A 13,261-nucleotide genomic window follows, 5' to 3' on the forward strand; every position below is an offset into this window, starting at 1 on the left:
CAGCTTATTTTGGCATCACACAAACTGCATATTAAATCAAACGTAACATTTTGTCATTGTAGTGAACATAACATTAAATTAAGTATGTTCCTCTTGGGCTTCACATTATAAATAATAGCATCAATGATATTCTAATTCCTGGTTTATTATTATTTTTTTAAAATGAACAATGATATGAAAATTTATGGTAGCAAGACCATATCACCACATAATTCTGTTGAGTGATATAAAAGATCCATTTATTGATTGTGATAATCTTAGAGGCCTGTGTTACTTTATCGTCAGAATTTTAAAATAAGTAAGAAAGGAGAGATTTCTCATTGGAGCCTTACTGAGACAGTTTCAGGCATATGAGAATTAAAGGAATGCATTAAACTTGAAAGTCAGGCTTAATCTATCTAGTGGAAAAAAAATCTTTTTAAAAGGTTCCAAAATACTCAACACAGATCAACTCACTGATAAAGTTATAATATTTCTCATGTATCCTATTTTATTCACCCAGCAATGGGGATCCCTGAAATCTTGGGTCACCCTATTATGATTGCAGTAGCTGCACATGGGCGGGGTCCACTCTTTTTTTTTTAAAAAAATAATTCTTCTTAAACAGCCTACCAGGAAAGAATAAAGACAACCCAGTGAAATGTGTGACAGACGGAAACCCAGATGCAAAGCTAAGTCACAGAGGAGTCAAGATTTCATTGGAGATGAATTTGGTTGTGCTCCCAGGGACAGAGATTAAACCACTCAACCATAGCACTCAGTGCCCAGATAAAGGATTCAGATTCATTTCAGGTCCGCAGAGGTGGAGGAAAAGATTTCAGAATCTACCAAACAGGCATAAAAAAACAGATGTAAATTAAATATGTTAAATACTCAAAATACCCAATGAAGAGATTAAAATTTGCTTGTATTAGAATATACAGAAAATATTTTTGCATCACTGTTCTCAAAGGAGGCCAAATGTTTAAAATATTGTGTTAAAATAATTTTTCCCAATTATTCCCTACTATACCAACTGCAAAATTTCTCCCGTTTCTGTGTTTAATAATATGTAGTCAAAAATGATAAAAATTCTAAAACCAGCATCTACACAGAAGCTCTTTTAACATCAAATTGAAAGCTTGATCCTTATCATTTAATAGGAAATGAACGATTTATTTTTTGAGTTAAGAAACTGTTTCTTAAATTTAATCTTCTATTTTTTAAAACAATGCCATGAGTAAAATTTACTTGAAGCAATTCGTTGCTAGAATCATCATCTCTTGGCATTTCAACACAATGAAGCCTATACTTTGTAATAAATATGTCAATTCTACAACTTTTAAGAGTAGATACTTTAAACCATGTGCAAAAAATGAATCTCTACAATGTTTTCCTTTAGTTACACTTGTGAAGCATTTCATATTCTCAAACTTGAGGTGGAGAAAACTCTCTGATTTCCTTAAAACATCTTAACATTTAACAACTTTAGTCATACATGCAATGTGAATAAATACAATCTCTGAATAAATGTAATATTCAAATGCCTTTCATAGTACCTGGCACATGATATATGTTCAATAAATGCTTATTAAAAGTAAAATTGTCTCCTAGATACAAAGATGGGAAGAGGTGGCATTAGGAAAATGCCATGTACAGAGATTTACGGATTTGTGTGTGTATTGATTACTGTGTCTAATGGGTAAAGCATTTTAGACAGCCATTTGAAGCCAAAAGAAACAGGAAACTGTATCATCTCTCTTTTACACTTGGGCCAAGAGATAAAGGGAATCTACTATCACACAAAAGGAAATAGTAAAACTTATGCCTGAGGAACTATAAACTCATATTTTACAAACAGACATTATCTTCTCTATTAAATTTGTGTGTGTGCATCTATGAGTCAATGTGCATATAATTATCTGATAAAAAATTATTTAAAATGTGTATGTATATATTAATGTGAATAATGGGGATAGCTTCCCAAGGATATATATTTGGAACCTATTTCTTTAACAAAATTATTTTAAATACCCCGTAGCTGCCTTGATAAATGGTAGTGCTTTAGAGAAAAAAGATTATTCTTTGGCTGAAGCTCATTACTGTCTCTTTATCTAGGACTTAGAAGAACTGCTAGCCGGGCTAAATCTCTCTGAATATATATCTTATGCTGTCTGAGGAATAAATCACGCCCTAACATTTCTAACTCTGTGTAACTGTTTGAAGGGTTGCATTGCATGTTGCACATTCTATAAGTGCTTCTCTTCCTTATTGTTCTTCACGAAGATGTAAATGGACCACAGGTGGACAATAGCAGGTGCCTCCTTCATGCATCTCTCCCATATGAAGAAAAGCAAACGTCTCTGTCTAGTGTACTTTGGGACTGGATAATTGCCCTCTCTTCTCGCTAAGCTAATTTTATATAAAATGGACTCAAGTATGACAGAAAGAAAAACAGAAAGGGATTCTATGAGAAACAGCACAAAATTGAAGTGGATTCTTTGGGGAACCACAGTGCTGTAGTAAATTAATGAAAATATATTTTCATTCTACTTATGTGCAAAGCATTATCTTGTGTTTCCAAATCATTACTGCGTAAAAAACTCCAGTTTATGCCTTACCTTTGCCTGCTTTAAAAACGTTACTATTAGACAATACAAATTATCAAATCAAATCAGAGTCACAGGAATCATAGATCTAACTAATACCAAATTTTACGGATAATGTGAAGGATACTGGTAATTATAACAAACAGAAAAAAAAATAGAGAAATTTGACCAACAATGCAGGTGCCCTTTCTTCTTCTATTAACACATTTTTTATTTCAAAATTAACATGTAAGGGGCTAATACATGCATCAGGACATTACTTGCACAAAGGTAACCCTTTTGTTAAGGATTATTTCCTATTAACATTTCATTAGCCTGTGTAGACCAGGTACAACCGGCTAGAAGCATTTCATATGTAAGGATTCTATTACTACCACATATTGTTACTGTATTGCCATTAGCAATTTTGCAAGAGTTTTTGAACAAATCATCTTTTTCTGTCTTTCCCAGGCACCTCCTGTAGAGAGAGGAAATAGATTAGGCTGTTAGAGCTATAAAAATACCCTAAAAGTGTTTTTTCTACTCTCTACTCTCATGCGGTCACATATCTGGTATCAGACGATACCAGACCAGATATGTGAGGCATGTTTCCCCACACACCAACCAATCAATTCTGCAGTGGATACCAGCCAGATGTCTTTTAATTTAAATCAATTGTGACGCTCTCTATATGATGAAGGCTTAGTCTCACAATACAGTCCCCCACTTTAGACCGCAGTTGCAAGTCTGGGCCACCACAAACTTCTGACCAACTGGCTATAAATCAGGGTTCCCACAACTTCCTCCTTGGGTTTGATTCATTTGCTAGAGCTGCTCACAGAACTCATGAAAACACTTTTGTGTATTGGTTGATTATAAAGGATATTACAAAGAGTGTGGATGAATGGCCAGAGAGCAGAGTTGCAGAAGGCAGGTGTGTGGGAAGAGCTGCCATGCCCTTTCTGGGCAGGCCACCCTCCAGGAAGCTCCATGAGTTCAGCTATTTGGAAGCTCATTGGACCCAGTCCTATCAGGTTTTTATGGAAGCTTAATTATATGGGCATGATTGATTAAATCATTGGCCATTGGTGATCAGCTTAACCTTCAGTTCCTTTCTGTCCCCAAGGCTGGGGATGGAAATGAATATCCCAACTCTCCAATTATGCCTTGGTCTTTCTGGTGACCAGCCCCCATCCCAAGCTATCTAGCCTCTCCTACCATCAGTCATCTCATCAGCATACAAAAGACATCACTCAAGAGATTCCAAGGGTTTTAGGAGCTATATGTCAGGAAACTGGATAAAGACCAAATCTATGCTTCACAATATCACATAGGCCTTCCACGCTAACCCTTTTTTCCACAACCATAACAAGCTTTTTTACCTCTTAAAAGTTGGGAGTTTGTAATTTTTTCTTATTGTAAAATCACTATACAAACATCACAAATTTGGAAATCCTAGAATGTATTAACACTGAAAAGTTAAAAAAGAGAAAAATCACAGTTCTATATCTATGGATAAACTAGTAAAACATGTCTCCAAAACTTGTGTGTGTGTGTATTGATTTGCTTTCTACTTATTATATCATCATTGATATCAATGACATCAAAATTTCATTGCCTTGTATTCCAATGTGTAGACCTTCTTTCATCTATCATCATTTTAGTTGGTTTGCAATATTTACTTATTTATATAGCACTCTAATGAAAACTTTCAATCAGATATCCCTGGGGACATCTCATGATTTTTATTTGATACATTCTTATATGAAACATGTGCAATTAAGGGATTTTAATTAAATATTATAGAGTGTATAAATTTAAACCACCACTAAAGTATAGTGGTACCATTTTATTATAGCCATTTTATAATCGTATATTCTCTTTGTAAAATATCTAAAGATTTAGAGTGTTAATACTTTCCATTATGGCTAAAGAATGTGGATAATTAGTTTATTCTTCATGGTCTTTCCTAAATGAGCCTTGAAGATGCTACATCATTTTCATACTAATTTGAAAAAACACCACATATTTTAAAATGTTACAATTTTAATAAGTAATATTTTATAATGTTTTATATACAGAGAAACCTGATTTAACAATAGTTTGACTTACAAGTTTTCAGTTTTACAAAGGTGCAAAAGTGATATGCATTGAGATGCTCCTCAACTTATGACGGGGTTATGTCAGGATAAACCCATGATAAGTTGAAAACGCTATAAGTAAAAAAGTGTACATTTGATTTAGGATATTTTCAACTTCCAGTGGGATTATGGAAGAGTAACCCCATCAAAGTCAAGGAGCATCTGTATCTTCATAACAGTATATTTTATAATAAAATGGGATGCTTTTGCATAATCCATTGTATAATGGTGCATAGCATATTTATATATCATAAAGTGATATATGTATTTAATGCTTATGATATATTGTATTATATGCGGTACATATGAAATATGAAATAGGTATTATATGTTATTTTATGTATTGTCTGTTTATGATCTATATTTTATTTTTATTGGTAATAACAATTTTACATAATATAGGCTACATAAAATATTTCACTTTTACAATAAATTTTGCAAATTATTTTTCTACTTATTCTATTGCTATTTAATTGATTCTTTTTTCACATACTTACAAATTTTATATATTTAAATAAATAATTTTGTACTCTGTTCCCTTTGCATTTCTTCTTTAAAATTTATTCAATTCAAATAGCTTTAAAAATTTATAATTATATTTGAGTAATATAATTGATTCACTAGTCATTTTTATTTTTATTTTTATTTTTTTGAGACAGGGTCTGGCTCTGTGGCCCAGCCTGGAGTGCAGTGGCGGGATCTTGGCTAACCGCAACCTCTGCCTTCCAGGCTCAAGTGATCCTTACGCTTCAGCCTTCTGGGTAGCTGGGACTCCAGGTGCACACTACCACGCTTGCCTAATTTAGCTATTTTTTGTAGAGACAGGGTTTCACGATGTTGCCCAGCCTGGTCTTGAACTCCTGAGTTCCAGTGATCCATCTGCCTGGGCCTCCCAAAATGCTGGGATTATAGACATGAGCCACCACACCCATCCTGTGATTCACTATTCTTAATGCTGTTATTTCGTTGGAAATAATTTGACTGCCATTAGCTAGGGAATATTTTTTCAATATCATTATAACTATTGTTTTTATTACAATATTTATAAGAGGTTACCTCTCACTATTCTAAAATCTTATTTGATTATACACTTGTGTTTGTTTCTGGGATTTTTTTTCTATTTTATTTTTGTCTGTGCAGCATTTCTACAGTATTGATAATTGCTGCTTAATAAAATATTCAATATCTGGTATTAGAAATTTATTATTGCTTTTATTTTCCAAAGTGTGTTAATTATCTTTAAGTCCTTCTTTGTCCAGAAATTTAGAATTATGTAGACATGTCTTCCCCATTCCTTCTACCTTTAAGACTATGTTGGAACTTCCATTACATTTCTGAATCAATTTGAGGTAAAAAATTACAAACAGAAAACAGTACTGTTGACTCTGGTGGGGTTTAGATTTCATCTTGAAGATAAAGCTGGTTTTCTTTCAAAGGGAGGAGTTGGATGAAAATTGGGAGACTTTAGAACAATGTAAATTTGAAATCATAAGTTGTTTTCTTAAAGGAAGCTAAAGATGCTTCTCCTAACTCTCAGCTTTAAAGTATGGGAGAGGAAGGAGTTAGGGCTATTTGTTAAAAATAGATCAGCATTCTAGATTCAAACCCCTCCCCTTCCTGTATGGAAGGAGAAATGAACAAGAAAGAGACTCTCAGGAAGTTACCAGGATGATGGGGTGTGTGTGTGTGTGTGTGTGTGTGTGTGTGTGTGTGTGTGTAGCAGGAAAGAGACCACTATTAGTCAGTAAATATTTAGCTCTAGCTAACGCAGTGAGTATGCCTTTTTTCATACCATTACATCAAAAAACAGGTACTGAACCTCAGAAGGGAGAAATATTTTTCAGGTAGAAATCCAGCACAAGAATGAAAAAGTCATACACATTTCAAAAATCTTCGAAGAAAATTAAGGATAATGCATTTTTATTTTAATTGAGGAAATATTTATTTAAAAGTTATAATAATTATAGCTATAAAACATGAAACTAATTTTACTGTTAAAATTGTAAAAGTACTAAATATGAAGAAGCTATACAAAATAAATATATTTGTAACACATACAACAGACAAAATATTGGTTTCTAGAATATGTTTCAAAACCACTACAAATTAATAAAATCAACAGAAACATTAACTGAAATTCATGAGAAAATTAACAGGAATATTCAGTAAACATATGAAAACATATTCAACCTCAGTAATAATCAGAAAAATTTAAATTACTACCAAGTAAATTAGTATTTTTTACATATTGATTTTAAAATAAAATGTGTGATAAGACTAAGTGTTGGCAGGTTATGTAGCCACAGACATCATTACATACGGCCAGAGCGAGTCTACCCTGGTAATCTCCACCTTAGACAAATAATTATAATCTAGCATTGCAAAAAAGAAATAACACATATCTACCAGAGATATACACAACAATTTCATACCAGCATTGTTAGTAATTAGAAGAATTATAAGCAATCTATGTTGCAACAGTAGGAAAATGGATAAATGAGCTGTAGTATATGTATAAAAGAGTCAAAACAGAGAAAATGAATGAACTAGAACTACATCTTTAACATATATGAATACTTTTCAAAAGAAAACAATCTGCTTGAGATTATATACAATATTTTCCTATTTATACAAGGTTTAAAACAGAGAAACAATATTATAAATGTGCAGTGATACCTGTGTTGCAGGACTTTTCCTCAGTCAGCTAAAGGCATCTTTGTCCGTCCCACAGCCACAAAAATTTAGGCTTGCAGATGGTTTGAAGGGTGAGTGAAGCAGGGTTTTATTGGGTGAAAAGGGAAAAACGGGGAAACAGGGATGCTCTGCAAAGCCGGAGTCCCTGCTAGAGCGCTTCCTGCCAAGCCGGTGGAATTTCAGGTTCCACACAGGAAGAGGAGGGGCCAGGCTGCTCCCAGCTACAAATGTCATCAACTTCCTGAGGTTCCACCCTAGTGCACAGGCCAGATGGAGTTTTCCAGAGACCCCCTCCCACCTGGCTGTCTTATTCCCCCGTCTAAAGAAGTACATATAACTGCTGTTAGAATAAGGATAAGCGTAAGAATGAAGACCAGTGTTAACTGCTTCCTGATGACAGGGGGCACTGTTTTGGGGAAGCATCAGTCAGAGGCCCATGTAAGGGTTCCCCGCAGAAGGGGCCATCCTCAGAGGCTCTGGTTGGGTGACTGGTTGGAGTTTGATGGCCTGAAGGCAAGAACAGACGAACCAGGTTATTAGAAAACATGTATCAGAATGAAACAAGGGGAGGGGTAAGGAGAGCTCAAAAATCCCGAGGCCTTTTACCAGTTTGCAAAGGGAGAAGGAGGCCAAAAGCTTGACCGGTAAAAAAAAACTTCACCCTTTTGCCGGCACACTGGGCTTCTGTGTTCCCTTCCCCTGAGCCTAATCTCAAGCCAACCAGTTCAAGGTTTGGGAAATTAACTCTTTCCAGTTTGGAGGATGCATCTGAGATGAGTGTCCCATAGTACAGGGACACAATTACCTATCTGTGAAGAAAAGACAGAGAAGGGGAAAGGAAAAGAGAAGGCATTTTTTAAAGGAGTCCCAGGGATTCAGGATGCATTTGAAAGGGGTACAGAGTGAAGATGAATGGCTACCCATCTAGAAAGGTGAGCAGGCATCCATGGTTCCCTTCACTTCCTAACAGATACCCGGGGTACTTCAGGGAGTGATGGAAGAGCGTCCTTTTTCCATCTGCTGTCCTTGCATCCCCAAGTTCTGGAGAACTTGGCAAGTGCCACCATGAGTACCAAAGCGGCTTGCACCCATGAAGCTGGGGGGCCTAGAGAATAGGAATTATCTGCTTTCACCTATACCTCTATCACCCCTACTGTAAGTAGCCTTGGAGTTCCCTAGACCTCTTTCATGCCATGGATATTAACGTGGCCTTTATCCATGAAACAAGAAGCCTGGGTTGGCTTAATGGGCAGGAATCAGCTACACTCACTTGTGCTGTGCCTTTTAACTTCCATTATTGTCTGCCTCCGGATCCCTCAGATCCAGTTTGACCCAAAGCTTGGGATTGCATGGACTCCTTATGATAAGCTGAATGCTAAGGTAAAGCTGTGGAAGTGAGTCCTCTTCCAACAAGGGAGAGAAAAGGATGTCTTGTGACACACCCAGATAACTGGTGGCTATGGTTATGCCTGCTAGGGTTTCGGTGCGTGGTGCTTGGCTTTGGTTAGGGCTCTTGGTCTTACTCTCCCAAAAAGGAAACTTGCTAGTGATGGACATTCTATTTATTCCCATCACCTGGCAGGATTTGCAGGATAATTGCTCAGAACTAGAATATTGATCCAGATTTCTACATTACCAGATAACACCCCTCTTGTTCTTTCTGAGCTGCAGCTGGGGATTGCTGGTTGGTTCACAGGAATAAGCAGGGTTAGTCTAAAAATGTAGGCAAAAACTTAAAAACAACTAGTGAGTTTAGAATTTAATGACAAATGTATAACTTTTGAAACATAATTTCTCTCCAGTCCTCACTTTTGTTAAGAAAAAAAAACCATGATAAGACCGAGTGTTTTGCAAAATAGACTTTAGCCTTATACTTGGCCTGATTATTTGCATAATAATTATTTCTACACAGGCCTTTTAGATTGGCTTTGATGGAACTCTGTTCCTCAAGGGATCTCAGATAAGACCTTTTAAAGCCATCCTAGCCATGGGTTTATTCTCAAATACATGTGAGTTGGGTCATCCTCTCCTCTTACGGTCCCAAGATAAACTTGGAGCTCCTGGACCTGTTAGAAAGTGACACTCTTTACTGATCACAGGTCAGGAACCCTATACAGGGACTGAGTATGAGGACAGCTTCCGCATGGGGCTTTTATTGGCTCTGCAAGTCAAGATTGACTCCGTAAAGGGAAGTATGCCCTTCCAGTCAAAGCCTTGGTAAAATAACCAGTTTTTCCAATTGTTTTCTGTTGCAAAAGAAAAATGGATTCTTATTGCACTGATGCAAACAACTATATTGCCATAAGAATACTCACAGGTAGTTTCCAAATTCTAGAGGAACCAGGCAGAGAGAAACAAACATGCTACAAATTTTGATCACAGGAGTGTATACTTTCCTTATTAATGACTGTAAATAGTTCAAAATAAGTTTCCTTGACTGTGAAAAACAAAACAAGGATCAGCAATATTCCAAGCAAAAGTCAAAAAGATTTGCTTCAGCTTCCTGAGTTCAGTCCATCTAGTTAACTCGTTTTGCTTGGTATTTGTGAATATTTCAGCTCTTTATGAGCCCCATAAATTTTCCTTTATTTCAATGTTACAATCTCAAAAGCTTTCAGAAGCCTGTATTTGAGAGCACCACCTAAAGTTCTATAGCTTATTATAAACCATCTTTTGAAAAGGATTAAAGCAAGACAACAATTGTCTGTGAATAGCAAAATGCCCAGGGTAGTGACAGTTAGAAACACAACTGACAAAAATGTTTGGGTATCTCTGTGGTTTGCAATAACTTAACCTTAATTATGATTGGTAGCATATACTTAGACATTAGAATTTTAGAAATCTCATACAATGTTGGAACATATATTAGCATTATTTACCAAGATATAACCTAAAGAAGACTGAACATCATTTTGGCAATCCCATGTACCTAAACATGTCAAATAATTCTGTTTACCTCTCTTCTCTGGACACTTCAGGGGCCCTGTCAAACTACTCAAAAAGCCAGGTGCCGGGGAAGACAATTTTGAAGCTCAAGTTTGATTTTGGGAAGGCTGTTAAATGTTCAAGGTTTAAAACACTTGATATTATGAAACAGAATTCCAGATTACCACAAATTATTTGTTTTGCAAAAATGATGACTCAGAAAACGTAAAGAAGCAAAAACCTTTTATAACCCTTTACAGATTTTGCCAAAGAGCAGCTAATGCCATAGGAAACCTTTGTTAGGCTTTTATTTCAATGCTCAATTTACAGAAAAACCATATAATACGGTTTTTTGAATTTAGTCAATATGTTCACACAGAGAACCTCTTCGGCAAGGTTAATTTTCACAATTCTTCCATCACTTCTTTGAACCCTCAGCTTTTTAATAATTTAATTCAAAACAATCCTTTAACCCTAGGCAAAAATTTACATTTTCATGCCTTCTTATAACCTTTTACTAAAAAACATACTTCACTGTTCTTACACTCCTTGCATGCAAATCTATTTCCAGTAGTCTCAATTACATGTTATAATGGTAACTCCTAGTAATTTTTAACAATAATTTAAAACCTGGTAAATTGTTTTAATTGTGTGCTAACTGTAGCCAAGGTTTGCCTTCTTAGTTAAGGAGGTGATTAGTTCCATATGTCCCCAGGCCCTACCAGCCGTGAAGCAGAGGAGACAGACAGTTTTCAAAACCCAAAAAGCAGTTTGTAACCTTGAAACACTTAGCAAACCTTGCATCTTACCTACATTTTACCAATAATCTTTAGGGGCTGTTTTGATTTCTCAAAGATTAAAGTCATGCGAACTGAAAGGTACCACAGCTTTTAACTTCCCTTAAAAAATACTTGATCCAAGTGCTTGTCTTCTTTAGGACAAATTAATTAGAGATCTTTTTAAAGACAGCACACACAGTATACACACACACACACAGGCATTAGAAAATCCAGTTGCTGGGTGAGGCCCTTTAAGAGACAGGGCTAGGAAAACATGCAGATATCAAACCAGAGAGGGCTCATCCTCTGAGGCAGGATTGCTCAACAAACCTTGCCAAGCAGTTACTGGTCACGCCCCCAGGATGTAAAACAAGATGGAGGCTTGCAGCACACACCATACAGACATGCAAAGCACACCAGGATTGGCCACGGCCCAAGACTAGCCCTACAAATCCTTTTCCACAATTGAAGCTTTACAGAGACTAAGTTCACTGCTGACTGGGTGTGAAGAGGAGAAAAAAAAAGGGGTTTAAAAATGCCTGGGGAAGAACCTCTTACTCTTACCCAAGTGGTTCCTCCACCAGGGAGACAAGTTTAATTGCTGTGGGTCAGAGCTGGCCTCCCCGGTGCAGGGAGGAGGAGATCCCATGAGTGCGTGGCAGAAAACGCCAGCCACTCATGACGCCTTGAGCCAGGTATCCCAGCCCCGGCAGGGAAGGGAGGGCGGTGGGGAGCCGCTGCTCACCCGTTCCTTCCAAAAAAGGGAGAAAAGGCTGTGAAAAGGCCCCTAACCCTAGGAGTAATAGGGGGTGGTGGCATGGTTTCCTCTACCCTCAGAAGCCGGAGGATGAGAGGGCTCAGGAGAGAGAGGGAAGGGAAAGAATTATTGGCATGCATTTCACTCACTGTTTGTAGAGCCTCCACAGTGCGTACCAAAGATGTCGCAGGACTTTTCCTTAGTTCAGCTGAAGACGGGGTCCTTGTCTGTCCCATGGCCACAAAAATTTAGGCTCACAGGCTGTTTGAAGGGTGAGAGAAGCAGGACTTTTTTGGGTGAAAAGGAAAAATGGGGGAAACAGCGATCCTCCATAAGGTCAGAGTCCCTGCTAGAGAGCTTCTCACCCACAGCTTGAATTCCAGGTTCCACACAGAAAGAAGAGAGGCCAGGCTCCTCCCCGCTGCAAACAGCATGAACTTCCTGAGGTTCCACCCCAGTGTGCAGGCCGGTTGGAGTTTTTCTGGGGATCCGCTCCCACCTGGCTGTCTCGCATGCTTTTTTTCTTTTTCCTTTTTTTTTTTAGTGAAAGTTCATACTCTGGCTAAATGTACAGGAATTCCAGAATATTAAATTCCAGTGGTGATTGCCTGTCAGGGAGGTAATGGGAGGTGATAGAGAGTGAATACAGTCATGGCATATTTTTTCTTTAAGCTCTATATCTTGTTATACAATTTGTTTTCCTGACCTATCTGGAATTTCCCTGCTCTCATAACAGCTTCCCCATGATCCATTCATACCAGCTGGAAAATTCTACTTGGACTTGTTAGTGTTAAGTCTTTGAGGAATAGCCTCCTTAAGGAAACAGCAGAAATGTCATTTTGTTTATTCTTATGGCATCCAGAATCCTGTTTTACTGAAAAGTTTAATGCCACGTTCTTGGATCATTGTGGCTTCCATTCCCAGAGCCTCTGCTGCTTGTCCTCAGGGTGTTTCCGTGGCTTGAAACCCTATTAAAAATCCTTCCCTGCTTAATTGTTTTAAGCAGCTTCTTTTGAGGATCTCTTATCTATTAGTTAGTAAAGACAAATCTTCCTTCCCTTCACATTCCCTTGTTTGAAACAACTCTTTATGTATTTTTGGCACTTAATTATTTAATTATAAGTGAATATAATTTTTTAAAGAAAGTCAGTTGACAGTTTCTTTGGGGGCATTTATTTTTTTTATTTTATTTTTGGTCGGAGGATGTTTATGCTGGGATTCATTCTGATTTCCTTCTCCTTCCTTGCCCTGACATGTCCCCAGAATGCCTCCTCTTCTAAAGTCAAGATGATCACCTTAATTTCCTGCCCTTCTATGGCAAGTTAACACAACCTTCTCCAAATCTGGGCCCAGGCCCTGAAAAGCTCTTGATCACTCCTATAGTAAGAAGGCTGCAGA

General features: G+C 37.1%; 1 long non-coding RNA gene across 1 annotated transcript; it reads right to left on the minus strand.

Annotated features, from left to right (window-relative positions):
• Positions 1-6,611: 6,611 nt before the first annotated feature.
• LINC01139 (long intergenic non-protein coding RNA 1139) lies at positions 6,612-12,245 on the minus strand. Its single transcript, NR_015407.1, has 2 exons — positions 12,013-12,245; positions 6,612-7,909 (listed from the first exon to the last, which is right to left on the minus strand). It is a non-coding gene; the product is annotated as a long intergenic non-protein coding RNA 1139 (long non-coding RNA).
• Between the last annotated feature and the right edge of the window lie 1,016 nt (positions 12,246-13,261).

This window comes from Homo sapiens, chromosome 1 (assembly GCF_000001405.40).
Source record: "Homo sapiens chromosome 1, GRCh38.p14 Primary Assembly".
NCBI lineage: Eukaryota > Metazoa > Chordata > Mammalia > Primates > Hominidae > Homo > Homo sapiens.